At 35.0% G+C, this 12,122-nt stretch overlaps 1 protein-coding gene across 74 annotated transcripts in view; it reads left to right on the forward strand.

Moving 5' to 3' along the window:
- Positions 1-12,122, forward strand: part of MAP2 (microtubule associated protein 2) — a 310,066-nt gene that overhangs the window by 216,077 nt on the left and 81,867 nt on the right. The window lies entirely within an intron of this gene.

Consider the following 12,122-nt stretch of genomic DNA (forward strand, 5'->3'; position numbering starts at 1 on the left):
AAACCCTCTTCCAGGCAGTGTTGATTGGCTTCCTAGTGTGGCAAGAGATGTTGACGTACCTCCACAACTTCCCGTCCTTATCACCATCACAGCATGTACCACACTGTATTATTGTTATTGGTTTGTCTGTCACCTCCTTCAACATGAGGGCTATATATTTTTTTCTAGTATTCCCAGTGTGTTCCTACTACTTGATACACAGAAGCCTGTCCATTAATTTTTTAAATACAGTTAAAAAATAATTAATTGCTTAATGCATTAAAATTTGTAATCTTAGAGTTGGACAACATCTTAGTAGTCATACATTCCAGCCTCCCATCAGTCAAAACCAGAATTGATTCTATAATGTTCATAACAGGATGGTCATTCAGGTTTTGCTTGCTTGAACACGTTCACTGATAAGGAATGCAATCAGGTTCAAAGAAATGCAAAAAAAAAAAAATACTATGACTATGCTGTAAATCTGTTTACACTTATATTTGGAATGTGATTTTAATTTGAACACGTTAGAGACAGAGCTTTAGTCAGATGGCTTGCATTTGTGGAGAAACAATTGTTCATCAGAAGATAAAGGGACTGAGCAGATCCCATAAAGAGAAGGGCACACAACAAATGGTATCCTGCTTATAATTCTCCAGGACTTTATTCTTCCTCTGTCTTAAATAGCCAAAAAGCCGATCCCACTCATAGAAAACTATCAAGCATCTAATTTTTGAATTTATGTTCTAATACATTCTCCAGTTTCAATTATCTATTCTTTTTTTTTTTTTTGTCTTTTCATGACTGCCATTTCTTCTCCAACTTTTAGAGTTTTGTTTTCTCTTAATTTTAATTCTAGCATCTTCTTCCATGATGTATAATATGGCCTCCAAGTTTACCTGGATCATGGCCCTGTTACAATACCAGAAAATCTCTAAAGCATCTAGTCCTCAAGTACTGATTGTTATTTTTAGATTGTTGTTAATCCCAGCCAGTGGCTTCTTCATAATGTGGCTCTCAGGTATCTCAAACCCAAGGATCTTCACTCTGTGGTGGTGCAAATACTTATGGCCTAAATTCTGCTTTGTAATGTCTGCAATTCTAGCCAATATTCTTCAGAGTTGTGTCCAAAGAAGATTTACTTTTATGGTATTTTGTTAAGTGAACCTGGACCAAGTCTGACAGGTCTTGAATCAGATTCCACACTGGAAAAAGTTTAAAACAAAATACATTATTTATCCAAATCCAAATTATAATTTTCCTCTTAAGCTTTTTATCCTGATATTTAAATGTATGCTTATGTAAGAAAAATTTTTATTAAAATTATGATTAGAATTTTTTCTCCTTATAAAGAAAAATTCTAATGTAGGGGTCAAAGTTTATTTGTTCAATGGCTCCATAGTTAGTTACATACTTATGAAACTAACACTCTGGTTTAGCATCATGTCCAAGTTTACGTATCTAGTAAGCGGTAGACCCAGGATTCACCCCTATTTTTCTGATTGAAAATCTGTTACTTATTCCACAATATCTCCAGTACCTAAATGCAAGTCCTTAATTCCTTAATTAAATATCACTGGTAGGGGTGGGGGGACTTAAAAAAAAGAAAAAAAAATTACTGGTAGAGACTAAAGCTCTAAAGCATTTTAAATATTGTTTATATCTAATATACAGGAGCTATTTATTAGTCCTCTGATATAATAAAAAATAGGCTCAGAAATAGTATACAGCTGTGAAGCATAAGTTGTATATCATGGTCACATAAAGACAATTGCCCAGTTTCATATGGTAGGTTGTTACCAATCGAGCAGGTTTACAAAGTTAGTGTTGTTATCTGGAGTGGATTCTCTTTTTAGCTCTAACCCTATTCCACCAGTCTCACTGCTTTGTGAAACAGCAAGCAATGGAACGGATGTTGGGATTTGACTTCTCCTTCCAGATCTCTCTGGAAGTGTCTAATTTGGTTAAATAATTGTATCTATTCTTGGTTTTTCAGTGTGGGTCAAACCATGTACTGAATCCTATTGCTGAAAATTTTCAAATAAAAACCATAAAATGGGCTGGGCACAGTGGCTCATGCCTGTAATCCCAGTGTTTTGGAAGGCTGAGGCAGAGGAATTGCTTGAGGCCAGGATTCCAGGCAACATAACAAGACCCATCTCTTGGTGGTGGATGGGGGGGATTAGCTGGCTATAGTGATGTGCACTTATAATCTTAGCTACTCAGGAGGCTGAGGCTTGCTTGAGCCCAGGTGTTTGAGACTGCAGCGAGCTATGATTGTGTCTCCGCATTCCAGCCTGAGTGACAGTGTGAGACCCTGTCTTTGAAAAAAAAAAAAAAGAAAGAAAAAGAAGAAAACACAAAATAATAACAAGTAGTAGGTAACATTTCTTAAGCCCTTCCAACTTGTCTGAACTTATACTTTATTTGTACTATCTATTTCTAGCAATAACCTAATGTTATCTGTGCCTATGATCATTTGAAATTACGTGTTATGCACCCACCAGCTCTCTTCTTTCTAATTGTTTATTAGTCATGGTATGTGATGAAGAATGATGAGTCATCCTTATAGGTATTTTACAATCAGCCTGAAATAAAGCAGGGAAGATATGAAACAAATATCTGGATTTTCAGCATATCTTTTTCATGTTATCAAGAACCTTTTCCTCTGTTTTTCTTAGAAGACAAAGAGGGAGAATATAGAGTTGCAGGCAGCTTATTAACAAATGTTTAAGCTTAGAACTTCTCAGCATTTATAAGCAAAAATATGGATTCTGCATAAACTTCTAATACCATTAAGGACCAAAACAAAAGTTTCTATTTTGTGATACTGATATGCATAGTAACAGTATAAAGCATAATTGAGCCTACATGGAAAAGAGAAACAATATTTATGTGCTTAATTGTATTACACAACTGGTCATTTTAGCCTTTTGTTCATCTGTGGATATGTAGCAGCACAAAATTATAAAACCAATGTTTTTGATTGAACTGGCACATTACATGATGATAGGGCAGAACACATAGAAAACATTCTAGAACTGTCTGTGCCGAACACATTATTAAAATGGAGACATGCCTATCTGGCACATAGTGTATTTTTCCTTTAGATTTTCCAAGACTTTATTGTTTCTCCTTTTGCCAATTTTTGAGAGTAGTTAGTGCTGCCTGGTAATAACTATCATCAGTAAGTATTCCTGTGCTTTGTGATCTTTCTAATATTGTAATCCAAAGAAAACCAGTGAGGTTTGTGATTATGTGGGAATCCCAGGAGGGAAAGTTCTATTCTTCTTAATGATATTTTCAGCACACATGTCTCAGTGATCTAGATACTAAATAATTCAATTACTTCTTTGAGAGCTTTACAAATTCAGAGTTATCTACCACACATTTGCACCCTGCTTATTACCCCACATCCACCTCCAAAATGATCTAATGGTAAAGAAAATTGTAACTCAATTTGAGATATTTTAATCAAGTGTACTTCTATCACAAACCATTAATGAATGCTAAGGGGTGTTTAAAGTAAATGTTCGAAAGACGATTTGAAAATGCCAGGGACTGCCCATTGTTTTCATAATGTGAAGTAGATTTTTTTTAACCATGGACAATTGGTAATTTTAAACATTCTTGGAAGATACTACAAGTAGGATTAGGCACAACAGAGCACTGCCTTATTCCCCATAAGCTAGAATACGAGCAGTCTATCTTGTGATTTAACTCCATCAACTCATCATAAATGTTCTGGACAAAGGAAGTGAAAGACCCAACTTCTATTTGTGAGAATAGTCATGTGACCTATCAACATAGTTGCCTTAACCCTTCACTTCAGTTAGTCTATAGGGATGTTCCATGTGTGTATTTTTATCACTCCTCATTCTTTTCTGAGGTCCTATGCAGCAAGCTTGGCTGAAAGCACTAGTCTTCAAATGTCAATGTATCAGAGTCACCCTATTGAGCTTGTTAAAATATCAATTTGCAAGTCCCACATTGAGAAATTCTAATTTGTTAAACCTGTGTTGGAGCTAATTGACTGAAAACACTGTAAGACACACTGGAATGGATGATCACCAAAGATCACTTCAGTTTTATGATTTTAAAACATTTTCTCCAATGGATTGAAGTAGTTTATCTTAAAAGTATTTCTAAACCTTTATATCATGTGGTTTCTATTATGATTACTAGACCTCTATCACCCCATTTATACAGATTTAGAAATGTTTTTACTAGACCCTATTCGTGTCCAGTAGTTTGTTTTACTTGGTGTTATTTTTCATATGCACCGGAGCATATGAAATGGAGTTAGAACTTGAATTCCATACTTCTACCATGACAGCCCTGAAAATTAGATTCAAAACTATTCCCCTCTTAACCCAATTTGCTATATAGTGTTGGCCAAACATCCACAGCAGGCAGAACCTTTCTGTGTTTACCCTGAGGTAGGTAATTGATTAATTAATATTCATTCAACATTGAATACATATTTGAAAGCTGGGAGGTGGAGGTTGCAGTGAGCCAAGATGGAACCACTGCACTCTAGCCTGGGCAACGACGTGGGACCCTGTCTCAAAAAAAAAAAAAAAAAAAAAGACAATGAAAATGAAAGCCAAAGTATGACCAAAGGCTGTTTTGATAGTTTTTTATATTGCTATCATGGTTTGGTTATGCACACCATACTTTCAAATAACCCCTTTTAGACTTCGAAGAAAAGGTATGGAAAACTTCAAAATTTTAAATGAGTAGAAATGAGAAAATTGTTTCTTTTTTAGTAAAATGTATTTCTGATTTGCATCCTTAGTCCTGGAGTTATCCAGAGAAAATAAATTCAAAATTCATCAATAGCTCAGACTGATGGCAGAGTTGTCAGGGACATTTTTTTCTGTGTGTTTCTGCTTACTTCTTATTTCTTTCCTTTAAATAGTCTGGGAAATATGACAGCTGTACTTTATTTTCTTGTGTCTGCAAGCCCTCAGGGCATATGTGCTCAGGAACTACTTTTTGTTACACTTAAATAAGTATGTCTATTTGCCACTTGCTCTAAAAAACAAAATGCAGGAAACATCAGAGTGTATCAAATTATTTTTTTCCATGTGCAATATTCAGGCAATGCAATAATAGATGGAGGTCCAGGTGAAAATGCTTCTCTTTTTAAGCCAGCTGTTAAATGCATTAAGTTTTAATTTGTACATACAGTTTTATAACACTTAGATAACCAACCAAAATATGTTATTTGGCTGTCTCCAATATAATAAGTCATTTATCATTTTAAAGTTATTATTCACTTATTAGCCACATTTGCTTGAATGATAATTTAAAAAGTATTCCAAGGAAGAAGAACAAAGGAGAAATACTTTAAAAAAAAAACTAAGTAATTTATTCCAACAAATCAGATTTTTCTGCTACAGTCTGTTAACCTGTAACCTATCTGAAAGGTCTAAAATATTACATTTTTATGAGACATTTTGTGTGGAAAATATTGTTGCCTATTTTGTACTTCATTCGCTTTACATGAAAATAAGCTATTGTGTGCTAAATGATATTATATAATTCTATTGTAAGAACTATGCTCAAACTAAAATGTTAAAAGGTAATATGTACAGTTATGTATTTATGATATATATTCTGCAGGATTTCAGAAAAGATTTGATAACTTTCACAATTATAAATAAGGAACAGAACATAGTACTCAGGACTTAGAATAAAGTAAATACTGCATTAAGCATTAAAATTCTTGGGAATAAAAGAAAATAAGGGAACAGATGTATTTCCTGATAGTCTAATTATCAGAAATATGCAAAATAAGCTGGGCATGGTGGCTTATGCCTGTAATCCCAGCACTTTGAGAGGTCAAGGTGGATGGAATGCTTGAGCTTAGGAGTTCAAGACAAGCCTGGACAATATGGCAAAACCTTGACTCTCTAAAAAATACAAAAATTAGCTGGGCATGTGGCACATAGCTGTAGTCCCAGCTACTTAAGAGGCTGCTTGAGAGGCTGAGCGGGGAGAATCACTTGAGCCCGGGAGGTTGAGGCTGCAGTGAGTGTGATTGCATCATTGCACTGAAGCCTGGGCAACAGAGTAAGACCCTGTCTCAAAAAATAAAATGAAATAAAGAAAATAAAAGAAATAAGCAAAATATAGGTTATCTTATTTCTAAATTACAATGTAAATTAATTTATTATGCATTTTTTTTGCACGAGGCAATCACATCACAAAAGACAATGTTTCAACAGTAGTGTTACAGATTTGCAGGCAGACTTTGGCTGCCTATGGGCAAGTCCAAATTTTTTCTTAACACAGAAAAAGAGGAACTCATTTAAGTATCTAGACACATACTCAAGTAAGATTTTAGAATTTTTAAACATAGAACATTACAATCTTAGGCCTGGAAAATGCTAAAAGCAGATACATTTAAATATAAGAAAATCCTAATGCAGTAGAAATTGAATTGTTGATGTTCCAGTCAATACTGTAGAAATCTGATAAATAACAGCAGTGATGGCTAAAAGACCTACCCATCAGCTACAAAAAGAGTTTCCGAGAGTCTACATTAATTATCATATTAGATAGTTTCTATTAAGTGATTGAAAATTGGAATATGTCTGTCCCAAAATTGTTTTGCCATAGTACCCATGTTTTATAGTGAGCTGGATATTTCCTTTTGTTCTTTCTTCATTCTTTTGTTGTTGTTGTTGTTGTTGTTTCTTCCTGTTTTTTACTTGCTTCTCAATCTCTTCTATCACTTCTGTTTCTTTAGAATTAATAAATTCTAAATTAATAGAACATTTGGTTACTTATTATTCCATTCTCACATTGCTATAAAGAAATATCTGAGACTGTGTAATTTATAAAGAAAAGAGGTTCAGTTGCCTCATGGTTCACAGGTTGTACAGGAAGCATGATGCTGGCATCTGCTCAGCTTCGGGGAGGCCTCAGAAACCTTACAGTCATGGTAGAAGGCAAAGGGGGAGCAAGCACCTCACATGACCAGAGCAGGAGTAAGACAGAGTGAGGAGCCACACACTTTTAAACAATCAGATATCATGAGAGCTCACTATCATGAGGACAGTACCAAGGGGGATGGTGCTAAACCATTCATGAGAAAACCACACCACGATCCAGTCACCTCCTATCAGTCCCCACCTCCAACACTGGCAATTACATTTCAGTATGAAATTTGGGTAGGAACACAGATCCAGACCATATCACTTATAAAATTCATAATTCATGGTACCAAAACCTTTTAATCAAAATGAGGCAAAGTACTTGTTTTACTCAACAGTATTAAACATGTAAGCATTAAGTCTACCTAAAAACAAAATTGAAGAATGTTACATGTGTTAAAAAGACGAGAAATTAATTCATATACCATTTCAACTTGAAATTTAAGCTCTAGAAAGACCATTCTATTCTGGTTATATAACAGTTTTATTATGCTGATATACTATGATACAGCTTAAATCATCAATATGTTAGAAATCTGATCAATACCAAGTCTCTTAGTTTGGCTCACATCATTGGAATCAAAGGTTAATGTCAGATCAACAAACACTAAAGAATCTTCGATTTTTCATAATTTTCCATCAGTGAAATTATTCAGAGTGCAGCAGTGATCAGTGGTCAGAGGTTGGTATGAAAACATTCATGTTGTTGTCAAGAACATTAGCATGAAAAAAACAGATCTAAGGTTTATCAAGGGAAAAAGCTGGAATTTTAAAAAACCGAAGTTTTAGCTTTTGATGAAGTAGAAATAAATGTGTCCATAGAAACTCTCAAATATCAAGACAAAATTGTTTAACAACTAAGGTAGCAAACATCAAAGCTCACCACTCAGATTCATAACTAACATTTCTGGTGGCACAATATTTTTTCTTTTTTTTAATAATATACCTTACCTAGAAAGAATACTTGGGCCCTTTAATATATAGTATAATAGTCATAATACAATAAAGTCAAGTGTAATATCTCACCCTGATATCAATAGATGTTTAAACGTCTTGGATTTTTTTTTTTTTTTTTAACGCAGTCTCACTCTGTTGCCCAGGCTGGAGTGCAATGGTGTGATCGCGGCTCACTGCAACCTCCGCCTCCCAGGTTCAAGCAATTCTTCTGCCTCAGCCTCCCAAGTAGCTGGAACTACAGGCACACACCACCACACCCAGCTAATTTTTGTATTTTTCTTGGGACAGGGTTTCACCATGTTGGTCAGGCTGGTCTCGAACTCCTGACCTCATGATCCACCCGACTTGGCCTACCAAAGTGCTGGCATTACAGGCGTGAGCCACCGGTGCCTGGCCATGTCTTGGATTTTTAAAAAATGCTTATCACACATAACAGTATTCCCATTATATATTGACGTGTGTTTTGTCCTAAAAAGTAAGATTCCCATTGCAATATATTATAAATTGTAAATCATTGTTTTAGTCTTAGATTTCCTTGCTCACATTATCAAGCTAGGCTTTTCAGGGAAGAGAAATAAGGCGGCCAAGACGGTGAAACCCCTTCTCTACTAAAAATACAAAAAAAAAAAAAAAAAAAAAGCCAGGCATGTTGGCGGGCACCTGTAATCCCAGCTACTCAGGAGGCTGAGGCAGGAGAATCACTTGACCTTGGGAGGTAGAGGTTGCAGTGAGCCGAGATCACACCACTGCACTCTAGCCTGGGTGACGGAGCAAGACTCCGTCTCAAAAAAAAAAAAAAAGAAAGAAAGAAAGTTGTTTAGGTAGCATCTCAGCTTGCTCTATCAAAGCTGGGATTGTGTGGCAGATGCTCAGCTGTTTGGCAGTTAGGAGCAGTTAAGATCTGTGATCTTTTGCAATTTGGAGAGTTTCCCATTGTACAGTAGGAATGGAATGTTAAAAATTCCTAGTATCTCACAACAAATTTTTTAGTAGACTTGGAGAGAATTTGTCTTTGTCTTCACTTTTTTATTTGTATCTTTATTTGCTTAGAGACAGAGTCTTTCTCTGTCACCCAGGTTGAGTGCTGTGGCATAATCATGGCTCACTGTAGCCTCAATGTCCTCAGTTGAAGTGATCCTCCCACCTCAGCCTCCTAAATAGCTGCACCCAGCTAATTAAAAAAAAATTTTTTTGTAGAGATGGGGGTCTCACTATGTTGATCAGGCTGGTCTTGAACTCCTGGACTCAAGCAATCCTCCCACCTCGACCTCCCAAAGTGCTGGGATTACAGGCAAGAGCAACTATGCCCAGTCTTTATCTTCTTTAATTGCACATTCACATGGTTTTCAAAGAGATTTGGGTAAAAATAATATTACATCAGGAAGAAGAAATTAAAGAAGGCTATGGTACTTTTAACTATGTTGAAAATACCATTTTGAAGAACAGAGATAATCTATGACCCCAAAATTTTGATTAGAAGTATAAGTGAAATTTATCATTTATGGGTGGTATTTTAATAATATTATGTTGTGATTATAAATGAGTGTGGCCAAATAGTGTCTCCTTTTGTTCAATAAACTTTTCCCTAAAACAGAGGCAATCTTTTCAAGTTATATTTTCTGTAAAAGTAGTTTTGTCAGAGCCATGCTATTTTAGTTTGAAATCTCCTAAAATGATCATTACTTACTAAATGGTTAGACTATCTTCTTTCAAAAAGCTCAATAAATTAAAAAGCAATACCTGAGTAATCTGCATACATTTTAAGGAATATTATCTGAATAGTCTTACCAGGAAGTTGGGTGATACTTTTTAGGTAATCGTTTTGATTTGTTTGTGATTCTAGTATTAAGCGAAATCAGTATGGCTAGCCAGCCTTTTCTTCTTCCAAAATTAGTTTTTATTAACTAATTTTAAAAATTCAAAACTCTAAAGCATTAAATACTAAGGAATTCATTTTTTAAATGTCTGTCCTCTTGAAAACAAATTATCATAATATTTTTAAATGGATGATTACCAAGTAGCACTCTCTCTATTTAAGTGTTGGTTTGCTAGGTTTAAAATAAGGATTCTTGGTCACTGAGAAATCTGTTCCAGAAAGCTCTATGGCAGGGGGATGAGAGAAGTCAAATGTAACTGAGAGTTGTGGGTGCTTATATTGTTGTATTTGCTTTTAATATTTGGTGGCTAGAACTCCTAGAGTTAAACATGGACTAAAGTACAAACCTAAATATTTCCCAGATCCTCTTGGGGATGTTAATAAATACGGTGTTAGAAAAAGTTTTGTGGCAAATTGGTTTGGGATGTTTTGCACATCACTGCCTTTGCCTGAGATTCAAATATCCAGTAGCGTATCAAAAGCTTTCAGAAGGCTCATAGTGTTCCTACCCACGTAGCTTAGCATCTCATCTGAACACTTTACTTCTGTGGTCTTCCTCCCCAAAACACATAACTTTAAACTAATCATTACAAAAAACAGACAGATCTCAATAGAGGGGTATATGATTTATCTGATTAGTACTCATCAAAACTTTCAAGGTCAAGGTCTTAAAGGAACCTAAGGAGACATGAGGACTAAATATAATATAGTACCCTGGATCAGATCCTGAAACGAAAACGAAAGACATTAGGTAAGAACTAAAGTAATCTAAATAAACTATGGACTGTAGTTAAAAGTAATGTTCACTAATTATATAAATGTACCATACTGATGCAAAATATTTCAAATAGGGAAAACTGTATGCAAGGGGTAGATGGGTAATCTCTATAGTATCTGCTTAATATTTTTGTAAATTTAAAACTTTCAAAAATGTAAAGCCTGTTAACTCAGAAAAAGCTACATCAACAAGGCATGTTATTTACGTGAAACTTTTTCTGTTTACAATGTTCTCTGTGTACACAAAATAAATTGGGCCATATAAGAATATGGAAATCTTAATTAAGCTCTTTGGTAAAACAAACAAACAAAAAAGAAATAAAAGCATGTAAAGATTAGGATACTGATGTAGGCAAGAATCTATCAGTAAAATGTTGTGATCCAAAAGTTCACAATTGGAATCTAGATAATTTCCTCAATCCTTCACATATATGAAGATGCCACAACTCAGCGGAAACACAATGCTTAGGCTACCCAATTAGATCTTTTGATATGTGACTGGAAGAAAATGGCAGAATGGAGTGTAGAACACTGCAGAATGGTTTTTATAAAAAGATGTAGCTAATTTTTCAATGTACACAGGGAGAGGTTAATTCCAAGGATGCTCTCTTCTCATTAGGCTACCATGTCTGGTACATTTACCATGCCTGTCTTGGGATATCCATTCATCCCTACACAATATCTGGGGACGGATTTGCAAGTAACTCTCATTATTGTACTCACCAAGTTTTCAGGCTCCTATTCCTATGCCAATGTTGTATATGTAATGAATAATGATATAATTAACAAACAATAACAAATGTAATAACTACTGTTTATTGAGCATGCCAGGAACTGTGTTGAGCCCTTTATTTTATTCTGTTTAAACTTGGTAACAAACCAATAAACTAAGCATTGTTCTCATTTAATAGATGAGAAAACTCTCCTGTGCACACAATTCTTTTCACATAGTTAGTGAGGTAGCGATACTCCCTGATTTACTCATAAGCCCTTCAATCAATGTTTTAAAACCTAAATTTTTACATCCTGTTTAAATATGTTCTTAGGGAAAATAAATAGAGCTGTTTTGAGAATCAGTTTTGGGAGAGATTTGGTGCTGCAGTCAAATTGGCTTAAATGAATTAACTCATCTAGCTCTTCCTGCTATGAACAGAAAATAGAGAGAGCGGAGGATAGCAACAAAATTCAGTTAAAAAACCCCCAGACAAATGCTTGTTAGTAATCTGATGGGAAAACTTACTTTATTTATACTTTCTCCAAACAGAGCTTGGTAGTAAGAAGTGTATTTGTCTTAATATAATTTTTGCTTACTTTTTTGGAGGCCTTTGCTTGAGATACTTTTTTGGAAAAAGGAAGATGTTCTTAGTTTCCATCAAAGACAGTGTTGCCTGTGTTGTCATCCTTACTGTGGAGACGATAAGCCATCAATAAGGCTGCATGGTGGGCAACAGCTTTCCAAAACTGAGTGGTGAATCACCTCTTTTCAATTATATATCTAAACTTGGTAATATCAGCTTGTAAGAGAAGGTCATGCAGTATCTTCCATCCAATTAACATGTATAGAACACCTCCTCCACAACTCATTCATC

Source organism: Homo sapiens, chromosome 2, assembly GCF_000001405.40.
Source record: "Homo sapiens chromosome 2, GRCh38.p14 Primary Assembly".
In the NCBI taxonomy this organism is placed as follows: domain Eukaryota; kingdom Metazoa; phylum Chordata; class Mammalia; order Primates; family Hominidae; genus Homo; species Homo sapiens.